Source organism: Homo sapiens, chromosome 14 (assembly GCF_000001405.40).
Source record: "Homo sapiens chromosome 14, GRCh38.p14 Primary Assembly".
Classification (NCBI taxonomy): Eukaryota; Metazoa; Chordata; class Mammalia; order Primates; family Hominidae; genus Homo; species Homo sapiens.
The window spans coordinates 52,415,195-52,429,555 of NC_000014.9; positions in this window are offsets into that span (position 1 = coordinate 52,415,195).

Genomic DNA, 14,361 nt, shown 5'->3' on the forward strand with positions numbered 1-14,361 from the left:
ACTAATGACAACTAAAACAATTCAGAAACACACGGAATAGAACAAACTACACAATGTGCTAAATTTCATATGATAAAATCTGACTTAGGTAATCAGGGATAGTTTTTTCTTCAAATAGTTTATTAAATCAATTTGTACCAGAAACACACGCACACACAGGCACACATATATACACATATACATATATGGGCATACATAGTGAAGCTCTGAAATTACAGGAACATACATAGTATTTATGTTAATATATTTTTGAATATTATTTATCAAGACTATGCCTTTCTTGAAAAGATATCAAGATCTGAAAATCCAAAAATATAAAACAAGAATCTGTGGATTTTCATTTAAAAAGTAATTCTTGGGCCAGGCGCAGTGGCTCATGCCTGTAATGCACTTTGGGAGGCTGAGGCAGGTGGATCATGAGGTCAAGAGATAGTAACCATCCTAGCCAAAATGGTGAAACCCCGTCTCTACCAAAAATACAAAAAAAAAAAAAAAAATTAGCTGGGCATGGTGGCGTGTGCCTGTAGTCCCAGCTCCTCGGGAGGCTGAGGCAGGAGAATCGCTTGAACCTGGGAGGTCAAGGTTGCAGTGAGCCAAGATAGCACCATTGCACTCCAGCCTGGGCACAGAGCCAGACTCTGTCTCAAAAAAAAAAAAGTAATTCTTAATTTTAAAAAAGTACAAAATTATTTATTCAACTAGAAGTTCTGTCCATTCAACTACTTGTCACACATCTGTATAAAAGGGCATTTACTCAGAGGATTATTTTATTATTATCAGAAAACATAAAAGGTGAGTTGAAAGATATCAAAAAAATCTCTATTTTAAAAGGACACTTTGGAGCCATAAAAATCATTATTTTTCTCTAGCAGACCAAAAGCTAAAGATCATTTTCAGGGGGATGGACCAACAGCAATGGATAGGGCCTGAATTCTCAGATTTCCCATAGCATCAGTGGAGAGAGAAAACTTCCACTTTATGAAGCTAGATTAGAGCAAGTGTTAACAAAATAAAGTCTTCTACACATTAAAAAAAATCTCATACCGGCTCATTAAGGGAGCAAGGGAATTACTAGAAATAACTCTGAAATTCTTTCCCACAAATACTGAACTTTCATTCTTTTTAAAATGCGTGTCTGTCAACAATTACAAGAAGGAACAGTAAGACAAGGAAAACAAAGAAGTTGCTGATTATAGGTTCTGTTATGAACAAATATATATTTTTAAATTTTATATTTTCAATGGTAGACATGATTTCTTACATGTTTATAATAATTGCACTTGGGTTGATTCCTAGAAACTTGGGAAAGTATAATCACATAGTTTATAGGTTTTACATTTACTTTTAGAAAGGCAAATCATCTCATGCATTCCTATAAGAAAAAATACCTTTGTGAATTCTTGGGTTTATACTCCTAAAATATAAAAATGCTTTCTCAGGAAAAATGAATTATGATCAAAATTTTAAAAATCAGAGATGCAGAACTCAATCAGAAATTCCCTTCATAGGCTAGGGGAAGTGACCAAGGATAAATCAAAACACTAAGACTAAAAATGTTTCAGGTACTGGTTGTGTCTTCAGTGTTTTCCCTGAAGCCCAAATCAGATTTAAGTAAGATGTAAGAGGTATGAGAGGTCTGCCTTGAATCCTAGAGCTTGGAAAGTCTTTTGGAAAAGACATGGAGAAAAGAAACACCTTTGTGAAAACCTAGACAACTATGGCCGAGTGACTGGGATACATTTGTAACAACGTAGAAAAGGTGAAAAACAACAAATTCTATATACAGGTGATTGATGATTTAAAATATCAAAATAAACTTTAAAAGTCCTTTATACCATTGAAAACATACACTTTACAAAAGCACTATACCATGTAATTCAGATTCTGAGACCTGTACACACTTAAAAGCAGAAAGTGTTTGCAGTACTACTTATAACAGCATCACCTAAAACACCAGTCTTCAACCAACAGGTGATAAATGGCAGCACAAATAAATTATCTAAAATATATTCTCCCTTAAATTTGTTTTATAAAAATCCTGCCTAGGGCTGAAATTCATCAACTTCTGAAAAATAAGAATTTGGAAAATCTCACTTTCAAATGTCCAAGAAGAAATCTCATAACCATGGCTCAGTGGCTTCCTTTGGTGACAAAAACAGGGTAAATCGATGTTATAGTTCATCAATATCACAAAATGGATTGTAGGTTGCATTTGCCAGGCCTTTCACAGTGTCCTGGCGTTTATTTTCCTCTCTTATGGGTTTTTCTTTATTTTATCATTTATGATCATTTATTATAATAATGGTTTGGTGGTTTCTCCCACATATTTTCAGAGCATCTTAGGCAAGCTCCTTTACCTCTCTGAGCCTTAGTTTCATCATTAGTAATATAAAAATGGAAACATCTACCACTCAGATCTTCCTTCTTGGGACTTGAGTGTAATTTATCTTCTAAAACATGGAGTCTCTCTTCCCCACACACCTGGGAATTTACTACAGTTTCATGGCAATTATTTTTTCATGATTCATCTTCAGGTTTACAGCTTATCATGGATTTTTTTTCACCATGTCTCCTTAAAAGATACAAATGGATCTACCATTTCCTCTGTCTTGTTTTCCTGCATTTCCTGCTTTTCATGCCTAGAAACAGAAAGATTACACTCACATGATGAACATCCATACTAACAACATCCCATAAAATGTTACCAATCTGAAAATTTCTGATCTTGACTGTCACTCCATCTTCACTTTAAAAAAAAATTGTTTTTAAAGGAAAATTGCCATAAGATTTTAATTCACCTCCATCAACATCCATCCCTCTACCCCTACCCCTCGCCTCCCATCAACTGCTCCTACCTAACTTGTGGTCTATGGGAAACACCCTTGACTTGCAGTCTGCATGCCTGGTTCAAGCTCTGATTCTACTCCTTAAGAGCTTCAGAAAAATCTCCTTAACTGGCTGGGCGTGGTGGCTCACACCTGTAATCCCAGCACTATGGGAGGCCGAGGCGGGTGGATCACGAGGTCAGGAGTTCGAGACCAGCCTGGCCAACATGGTGAAACCTCGTCTCTACTAAAAATACAAAAACTAGCCAGGCGTGGTGGTGGGCACCTGTAATCTCAGCTACTCAGGAGGCTGAGGCAGGAGAATTGCTAGAAACTGGGAGGGGGAGGTTGCAGTGAGCCAAGATTGCACTACTGCACTCCAGCCTGGGAGACAGAGTGAGACTCTGTCTCAAAAAAAAAAAGAAAGAAAGAAAGACAGAAAAATCCCTTTAACCAGGGGTTCCCAAGCAGGTTCACTATCAGCATCATCTGGGCAGCTTTTTAACTGTTAAAGCAGAATCTTGGAGGGGGTAGCGGAGGGGAGGAGAGTGAAGCACACAAAAAAATACAAGGGTCTCTTTTATGAAAAGCTCTGCTAGATGATGCAAATGAAGACTCTAGTTTGTGACCTATGTGCTGTAACTTATTTATTTATTTATGTATTTATTTATTATTTATTCATTTATTTTGAGATGGAATCCTGCTCTGTCACACAGGCTAGAGTGCAGTGGCGCGATCTCGGCTCACTACAACCTCTGCCTCCCAAGTTCAAGTGATTCTCCTGTCTCAGCCTCCTGAGTGGCTGGGATTACAGGCCCATGCCATCATGCCTAGCTAAATTTTGTATTTTTAGTAGACCTCAAGTAATCCTCTGCCTTGACCCTCCAAAGTGCTGGGATTACAGGTGTGAGCCACCGCGCCCAGCCCCATGTGCCACAACCTCTTGGTTTTGTTCCTAGCTTGTAAAATACTGAGTCTATTTTATAATGATATTGTGAAAACTAAACAATGTATAGGAAAGGGCTTTATAAATGGGAAACTGAATATAATACAAGGTAGTATGAATCAATACTTTTGTAAACTTTAGAGTAAAATAAACTTATTATCAATCATTTCTGCAGCAACCATCACACACAGGATGTGATATAAACATATCAATACTGACTATCTTCTGAAATGCTCATAGTATAAACTCTCTGAGTATACCAGAACACAATTTTAAAAACACATAAAGGAGTTTTAAAACTGAAAGACAAAATGTTTTCACAAGACTTTAGAATAACAAACATCTAAATAATTTCACTCTTTCTGACTTCTTGAATTACATTAAGACTTTATTGTGGGAATCTGCTTCTCAAAGTCCCAGTCTTCTAGGAAACCAGAGAAACACTGGAAGACTTTGAAGCCAAACTAAAGAAAAGAAATGGATGTGCAAATATTGGTATTGGTCTGTCTCCTTCCCATACCTAAGTTGTTTCCTGGAACCATAGTAATTGAGATGCTAAGGGAGGTTTACTAACTCAGTTCCCATTTTGTGCAATTTATATTGCAGGGAATAAACTGTACTCTAATAGTCTGGAAAAATTATTTCAGGAAATGACTTTGGCCCTAGAGAGTATCTGATTCATTGTAATTTCCAGGATAAAACATTCACCTACAATTTTTAATCCCCCAGAGGGCTTAATCTACTTATGTTAATGCAAGCAAAGGGGCTGGTAGAAAGGGACTCTTACTCTAAAATGATTATAATTATCATTTTAGGGAGACCATGTGTTTAAGGTAATCTATCATAGATGTTTAATTCTCCTCTTTCATCAAAATAGAAACACTTGAAGTTTACTTTTTTACTCTTGGGAATGGGTGGGGAATAACTGAATAGGCTTGTAACCCTAAATCATAACCTACAATTCAGAGTTCAAGCTCACTAGTTCAACAACACTTTGCTGTATCTGGCTCCTGTTCCTCTCTGGCCTCCTGCATGTCTTTTCTTCAAACACTCTTCACTCCAAATGGAACTAGTGCTCTTGTTTCTGCATGCACCAGGCTGTTTGAGGTCTCCATGTCATCACCCAGGCTCTTTCCTCTCCCTGGAAATTGCTTTAGTAAATTCTACCTATACTCCAAAATTCAGCTCAAGCATCCTTTCCCCAGGAAGGTTTTCTGGCCCCCAGACTAATTTAGCTGCTCCTCCTCCAGGATTCCCCACAATCCCGGGCCACCCTTTGCCTCAGCACTTATAACAACAGGCAAAAGTGATTTCCATGTCTCTCCCACACACTAGATGCTAAGGTCCTGCGGGTAATGGTCCATTCCTTATATGACTTTATGTTCACAGCACTTAGCTCAGGGCTGGCACTTAATAGGCATCACAGATGTTGGTTGGTTGAAGGAATGAATGTAAATGAATGAAAGATGTGATCTAAAGATGTGTGGCATGAAATCTCAGAGAATCAATTATGCCACTTGCCTATACTGCAATAACTGCATATTTTCTAATTTTTCGAGTAGCCAGATTTTTTTTCTTTTAAGTGGGAAAAGCTGAACTCAACTTCTCTGGTAAACAAGTAGGCAATACAGGGAGTCACTTTGGGTGATCGTCCTTGTTCTTCGAAGAGTCATTTGAATTGCTGTTATAGGTTAAGCAAATGTAAGCCAAGATCCTCTGCTTATAGAAAAGGTTATATACCCTTTTCTAATGCCCTTTGGTATTCACAATTCCAAGAAGGGGTGAAGTGATTTGGACAAGGATCCCTCGGCTTTGGGACAACTTCTCAGTGGGCCAGAGTGTCCCTGAACAATGCTCAGGGGCAGGGAAGGACAAGGGGCTCCCTAAAATAAACCTTGAGGGTAGAAAGGTACTAGAATTGTTAAATGGACCCAGCACTGAGCTGATTGAGAAGAGCAACAGCAACCCCAAGTCAAGAGATGGCAGATGCTGGAACTACTTTAACCCAGATTCAGGGCACATTTGCACTCTGGGGAAGTGGCTATGTGTGAACCAAAGTTGCTGGTGCCTAACAGCTGTAACATTTGAGGACCCAGGCCTCCTTTTGCCATGGAGCTTCTCAATGGAGAACTTCTAGATCATCCTTACCGCTATTACTGGGGTGTATCTTCAAACCAGCACCAAGAACAAGGCAGAATACTCATGGCCCATCCCCTTATCTTCCATTTTCCCTCCTGTGTCAGAGGCTGTGGATTTGTTACAGCATTTTCCATTGCTGCTTTCCGGTATAGAGGTTGGAAAACCAAATACAGGATTTACTTCCCAGCTCTTTTGCAGGTGGGAGTGGCTATATGGCCCAGCTCTGACCCAAGCGTGATACACAAGCAGAATCTCCCAGGCGACTTTGGATTAAGCCTTTGTTCTTTTTATAAAATGGAGGTATCAGGCACCCACCTCTCTCTTTCTTCCTGCCTTAAATACATGTCAGATGCTTGAGCTTCAGCAAGCATCTTGCAGAAGAGAGGAAACAAGCCATTACATTATGAGCGAAGCAAAGAGACAGAACCTAGGACATTGCTACCACCATGAAGCTGCTATATCTGGTGACTACTTATGTAAATAAAGTAAAATATTTCACTTAAGTAAAATGAAACCCAATATGTTAAGTTACTGTTAGATTATCTGTTACATACAGTTAAAGGATTCTGAACTGACACAATTTTCATACCCGCAGTCATATGTATCAGACACTAGTAGCCACAAGTGATATTTAGACACATTGGACAGGGGTTATCCATTAGCAGGAAATCTGGTGGACTGTTACTCAGTACAGAATGGTGCTCTCGAGCACTGCACTCCAGGACACCAAGGGGATGTTGTGTTCAGCCAAACAAAAAACACTCTAGGTATAATTATGTTAACTTTTAAGTTGAGATTTGAAGAACAAAATTCCAGTCAAAAAAGCAACTATTGACTACATTAATGATCAAATGGGACAGATTTTTCTACCCCCTTTTGATTTCTTCCCCCTTTTGATTTCAGCGTAAGCACTGAATATGGATGAAATATTTAATACCACAAAGTGAAAGAAAAACTGTTAATGCTAGATATGAAAATAAATAAGTTAAATTTAAAAATATATTCTAATGGTATCTTTACTTGATCTTAGTTGAAAAGGTGAAGGGACAATTGACTAACCTAAGTATCTTTGAATCCTAAAAATAAGAAGTAAAATATTCAGAAGGTCAAACGGAAGCCAAATTGTTAATGGTAGTTACCACGTCTCCATAATTGGAGTTGGAGGGAAGTGGGACCAGGTATTGCTTTTTGTGTTTGTTTATTTCTATATTGTTTTATTATGAGAATGTATTACTTTATTTTGTGAATAGGACAAAATTTCTAGTAAATAAACCAATCTTTAAGATGACATATATCCAATGCTTACTAGGCATACTCCCATTTAACCCTCAATACCATGTGGTAAGCAATATTTTCACCACTGAGGAAACAAAAATGTAAGATTTTAAGTAACTTTACAATATCACACAGCTGATAATTGGAAGAGTCAGGTCCAAAGATTCTTCAGCACAGATCCAAAGCCCATTCTCTCACCAATGTGCTATACTGGTTATATCTCCCAGATGTTTCTGGATATGGAGGTATTCTCAATTCTGTTTACCAGACATGAGAGTTTCTTTGAATGCTACTTTTGTTAGACAGTTTTTAAGAAAACTGTTCTCCAATAGCTTTTTCTCTCAGACTTTAAGTATCTTTAGAAACAGGAATAACCCTACCTTCTTACAATGTTTAAATGGGGACTTACTCACTGTTCACATTTGTCAAGACCATCTGGGGCTGGTGTGACCTTAGAGTCCTCTCCTGGTAACTTTGGAGAAGTGATTTAGATGCAATAGTCACTCTCAGTACAATAAACCAGACATTCTGAAGGAGTTTCATGGCACAAAGAACTGGGTAGCTGGTTAGGTTGTATCTCTAATAAGAAAACAAGTTTAAATGTGAGGAAAATTAATTCTTCAAAAATAGCCTTCATAACTATATAAAATATCCACCTGAGAAACAGAAAATCCAGACTGCATTTAATGTCAGAGGAAATGAGTGCTTTATTTGATTAAAATACTGACGTGCAATTTTGCCCACTATAAGTCAAGAAGCTGGTCTGGAATATTTCACAAGACTCCAGATTCTGCATCTGTTTTTTTATAGCTCTCGAGGCCTATGTAAGGACTTGACCCTGGGTTATCCAAACTAAATCTTGGATAGGCTTCCACTAATAAAACTTAGTAAAAGAAAAAGGCTTATTTTAAGAGAATGTGAAATTACAGCCTACAACCATAAAGTGTTAAGAATATTAACTCTAAGGGAAGAGATGATTGGTCTGATTATTCAATAATCTAGTCATAGGCCATTTTAGTATTATTTTATGTATTTTATATATATTTTAAAATGTCAGTGCAGAAGGATGTTATGGACAGGAAGTGCTTTACATGGTATCCCACCAAATGGATGTGAAGGAGACTCAGGTTGAATTCCAAATTTTTCCATTCATAAGCTATAGGATGCCTAGATTTTTACCTCAAGCTCAGGTTTGCATACCCAACTCCTTAACTCTATATCTCTAGGCATCATTTTGTTATTGATTTCTAGATTAATTGCACTGTGTTCAGAGAACATGTTGTGCATTTTAATCCTTTAGCAATTATCAATACTTGCTTTATAGCCCAGTATATGTTCCTTTTTATAAATGCCCTGTGTGTGTTTGGAAAGAATGTGCATTCTGCAATCACTGGGTGAAGTTAGGTCAACTTTATTAATGACATTGTTTAACTCTTTGATAACTTCCCTTATTTTTTTCTGCTGGCTCTATTAATTACTTTGTACTTAAAAATCTAATATGGTGAATTTGTCCACTTCTATTAATTTTTGCTTCACATAATTTGATACCATGTTATTAGGTGATCACAAATTTACAACTGTTATAACTTACTGATGAATTGAACATTATCATTATGAATAATCTATCTTTTTAATAATGCTTTTGACTTAATATCTGTCTTCTCTGACATTAAGGCTATCTGACCAGCTTTCTCTCATTTGCATGGTATGTATTTTTTCCATCCTTTTACTTTTAACCTTCCTGTATACTTCAGTTTGATATATATCTCTTATAAACTTCATATAGTTGATTTTTTAAATCCTGACAATCTTTTAATTGGAGCACTTAGTCTGTTTGCATGTATTTACTGACATTTCAGATTAGATTAAATTGCGGTCCTATTTTGAGCTATTTATCCCACCTGTTCTGTGTTTCATTTATTTTCTTTCCCTGCCTTCTTTTGGCTGGTCATTTCTTGTAGCTCCAGTTTTTTTTTCCTCTCATAGTTTGAAAATTTTCAATTCTCTTAATGTATACCCTAGAAATTACAAAGTGCATACTTATTGAAACCCAAAATTAATCAGTAACTATCCTTTTCCCAAGGAATGTAGAATGCATTAACTCTATTGATTCCTTTTCCTGCTTATATATTGTCATGGTATGTTATTTTCATTGTTCACTTTTTAAAACTCCACAAGACATTGTTTTATGCACTCAATTCTCATTCAGATTTACCCATGTACTTACCACTTTGTTCCTCATTCCCTTTTGCCTCTCTTCCCTTCCATCTGGGATCATTTTCCTTCCACATGAAGAATATACCCTGAATCTCCTTATTTTGCAGATGGCAACTCTGTTTTTGCTATTCTGAAATGTCCTGATCTTACTCTTTTTTAAAGAAATATTTTCACTGGATATAAAATTCTAGGTTAGCAATTATTTTTCTTTGTTTATTGAATATATCATTCTACTGGCTTCTGACTCAGTTGTTGTCTGACACTACTTTGAATGCAATCTCTTTTTTTTCTAGCACATTTTAAGGTTTCTTTGCCTTCGGTATTCTGTAGATTCACTGTGTGTGTGTGTAGGGTAAATTTGTTTTTATTTAATCGAATTTATAAGCTTCTGAATTTGTGAATTGGTGTCTTCATTCTGGAAAATTCTGTTAATTGTTCTTTCGCTTGGCTTCTTTTTCATATTTTTCACCTTTTGTCTCTCTGTGGTACATTCTGAGTGATTTTTTATGATCTTCCAATTATCTTTCTCTTTTCAGCTGTGTCTAGTTTAAATTTTTAGGTTTTTTTTTTTTTTTTTTTTTTTTTTTGAGATGATGGAGTGTTGCTCTGTCGCCCAGGCTGGAGTACAGTGGCGCAATCTTGACTCACTGCAACCTCAACCTCCCAGGTTCAAGCAGTTCTCCTGCCTCAGCCTCCTGAGTAGCTGGGATTACAGGCATGCGCCACCACGCCTGGCTAATTTTTTTGTGTTTTTAGTAGAGATAGGGTTTCACCGTATTGGCCAGGCTGGTCTCTTACTCCTGACCTTGTGATTCTCCCCACTCAGCCTCCCAAAGTGCTGGGATTACAGGCATGAGCCACTGCTCCCTGCCTAGTTATGTTTTTTTTTTTTTATTTCTAGAAATTTTCTCAAATTTGTTCTGTCTTTTGATTGCCTATTTCCTGAAGATATGTTTAAGCTTGCCTTTTATTTCTTGCAACATAGTAAGCACAATTAATATGTCTAATAATGTTAATTTCTGAAGTCTTTGTTTTGCTTTTAATTCTTGCTAGTTCTCAGTATGCTTGGTTTTTCCTTGTGTGCTTACTTAATTTTGACTATAAGTAAATCACTGCCCTTGAAAAAGTTATCTTGGTCAATACCTGGAGGCCTGCTATGAAGGTGGGTAACTTTCCCCAGAGAGAATGTGTTTGTTTTTGCCAAGTTTCTAGTTCAAGGACCTGTTTGGGACCATTTTAAACTAATCATCACTTGAGGGTTTTTGGACCACATAGGTTATGGCAATTTGGTTTGCAAATCTCAAGGGCTCCAAGTATATCCAAAACTTGGATACAGTTCCAAGTTTTCGGAGAGGGTTTGGCTTTTTGTTTTCCTTTTGCTTCTCACTATCAAAACATCTTCTTTTGTAGTATTTGACTATGCAGAGATGGAGAAGGTTTTTTCTATTTCTTTAAGTTCACCTTTACCTCACAGGCTCTGTGGAGTTCCAACTTTCCATGCTGGTTGGACTTTTAACTTTGGTCCCCATGGCAAAGCTGAAGTTTGGGGCTAGGGACATTTGCCAGGGTATGGGACAGACACCCACCCACACCCACACTCCATGCACCTCCTGGGCCAGGCTGGACCGGTTCTGGCCCCAGGGTGGACTTGGAAATCTCACCACAGGCACCTTACAGAGGTGGGTGTGGGGAGACTACTCTTGCTCACCTGAGGCACAAGCGGTTCATGGGTTCCTGGGAAGATTTAGAGCTTTCTACACAACGAAATCCCTCCTTCGTCATCTTCAGGCCAACGGAGACACTTGGCAGCTAAAGAAAGTTGACCGTGTTTTTATTTTTATATTTATTTTTTGTTTTTCATTTTAAACAAGAAGTTTATTTAAACAACCCCATGCTTGGCTTCAAGGGAAAACTCTCCAGGATTTTTTAAGAGTCATTCATCCCTACTTAGACAGATTGCCCTACATGTTGACAGCTAGTATAAAGAAGTTATAAAATGTACTTGGATTTAAATAAGTGAAAAAGATTAAAATTCTCCAGCCTATCAATGTATTTAAGAATTTTTCTGTTGTTGTTCTTTCTTTGTGTTTGTTTTTAGTAAAACAGAGCAAAATGCCAGGCGCGGTGGCTCACTCCTGTAATCCCAGCACTTTGGGAGGCCGAGGCGGGCGGATCACGAGGTCAAGAATTCAAGACCAGCCTGGCCAACATGGTGAAACCCCATCTCTACTAAAAATACAAAAATTAGCTGGGCATGGTGGCAGGTGCCTGTAATCCCAGCTACTCAGGAGGCTGAGGCAGGAGAATCACTTGAAATCAGAAGGCGAAGGTTGCAGTGAGCCAAGACTGTGCCACTGCACTCCAGCCTGGGTGAAAGAGCAGAACTCCATCTCAAAAAAAAAAAAAAAAAAAAAAAGAGCAAAATAACTTACTAAAATATAAAATATAAAGATGAGAGCTGAGTAAGTCAGCTCACATGGACAATTGCTTTAGGAAAAAATACTTGAAGTACATCCTTTAATTCTCTGGTTTCTTGCTTTTACTTAGATTTTGGCCCAGCAGTTTTTTGGTCTCTTGTCAGTCAGCCCCTCAATCCTTTGAATAAAGAATTTTAAAATTTATCTAGCATTCTAAATTGTTTTAAGTAACGGAGTTGATCACAAAAAACCTGAAAGCTTGCTCCCTTATTTCCTTTTTAGTTTTAAGTTTACCTTATCAGTGAGGCCTTCCTTATCCACACTTTATTTTTAAAATCTCCTATACCCCTCCCTACCCTCCTTTGTCTTATTTTTTTCACAGCCATTATCATCTGTGTATCAACTGTATATTTACTTGTTTATTTTCCATCTCACCTGCACTAGAATGTAAGTTCCATGAAGAAAGGGGCTGTTTTATTCTCATTGCCAAAAACAGTGCCTGGCAGACAATAAACAATATTTGTTGAATCAATGAAGAAAAGCTCTCCACTGAGCTCCATACTGAAGTATCCTACTGTCAACTTGAAATCAAATAGGTTTTTCACTCTTAGACACAATAAAACTTTTGATTTTCTGTCCACCCCCAACACCATCCCAGCTTTCCTATTCCTCATTTCAGTAAATAGCACCACGTTCTTTCAGTTACTAAATCAGAAACTTGAGTCATTTGTAGTTCTTCCTTTTCCCTCAAAACCTAGATCCAATTCATCAGCAAGGTCTATAGGTCAAACCTCCAAAATACAGCTCAAATCCATCCTCAATTCTCCATCTCTATGACCACTCCTTGTGGCAACCAGAATATTCTTCTGAAGTTTTGCATCCCATATTTCTCCCCTGCTTCTTGGTGCACTTGAAATAAATTCTTTACCATCCATGTCTTCCAAAACCCTGCGTAATGCTGCCTCTTCCTAGCTCTCCAGCCTCATCTCTATTGCCCCCCTTGCCCATTAGACTCCAGCCACATTGGTTGTATTCCATTCTTCACATAAGCCAAAATCTTTCCGGAGTCTTCCAGATGCTATTCCTCTATCCAGAATGCTCTTTATTCTCATCTAGGGTGGCTATCTCATCCTTTTAAGTCTTAGCTCAAATATCACCTCATTATGGAGGACTCACCTCACCACTGTACTTAAGTAGGTGGTCCTCTAATCATAATCATTCTCTATCACTTCCCTCTACATCTTCATTGCATTATTGCAATTTGAATTATATACTTATCAGTTTGGGGAATTCTTGAACAGGAGAGATTTTCTGTACTTCTAGTGAGAGTGGATCTCTGCTTGGTATTGGCACAGGATCCTGGGCCCACAAGATTTTCTGCCTTTCTCAAGGGCAAAAGATTACTGTTTTTACATGTCCTTCAAGAGCAGTGGATCTCTGCCTGGGCCATTAGGGCAGGAAGGTTTGCCATCTCTCCCCCAGTGGCTTTGCTTTGTACAAGAGAAAGGTCTGAGGAAGTGGGCAGTGTTTCACGCCTGTCAGCCCATCATTTCATGCATGCCTGTGTCACTGAGGGGTCTCTTCTCACCAGTCTCTTGCCCCAGTCTTTCTCATTAGCATGCAGTTGAGGCTTGTGGAAAGTGATTGTGAACCTCTGTCATGTCAAGGGACCTATTTAAACTGATATTGATTACACAGTTGGCCTTTAAAGAATTCCTTAACATTTAATGATTTCTGTCAGTAGACAATTCTCCATGGGTCTCTCACATTTTTGCATGATTGCATGGAAAGGTACTGCCTGCCTTTCTTCTGGACTACCTTTTCAAGGATATTTATATAAAGAACAGCCTGGAAAGACCAATAGAGATATCATCTCCCTAGAGAGTATCTCCCTCTAGAAGGACAAGTTTGATTACTGTCCAGTATAATAAAGATCTATTCCTCCAGAGCAAAGGGCATGCATGCTAAATATCCATTATAACATATTTGGGCTCCCTAAACTCAGGGTTCTTTCTGTTATGCAATCCACTCTGTGTGCAGGTATCACCTGGACCTCTTCTGATAACACTGTGGGGATGCTGACACTCCGACTAATGCTACTGGTGTAATAAAGTCCTTTGTTTCCAATTCAGGAATCTGAGGCAAACTAACTTGCAAGGAGTGCTTCTAAATTCTTTATAATTTATTCTCACTTGCTTTAATGGCAGCCTCCTATTCTCTGATGAAGGCAAAACAGTTCACATATCCTGTTTCTCTTTGAAGGGGACTTGTCACTCTTTGAAATTCAGTTCCTTTGGCTACTTTCTCTGAAGGATATAAGAAAATTGATAAATTTTTGTTGTTAGGATAGGAGTAACATTGTCTTGCAGTTTTCTACGTCTTAGGTGGAAGTGAAAATCCTAAGGTGTATCTACTCGATTACTTTTTATTACTGAAATAGACACTGATTTGCAAACTCTTATTGTTCACCTTACACATATTTAATTACTTTTTAAAGAAGCATAGGCATAAGTGAGGAACTCTAGGAATTTTGAAAAACAGC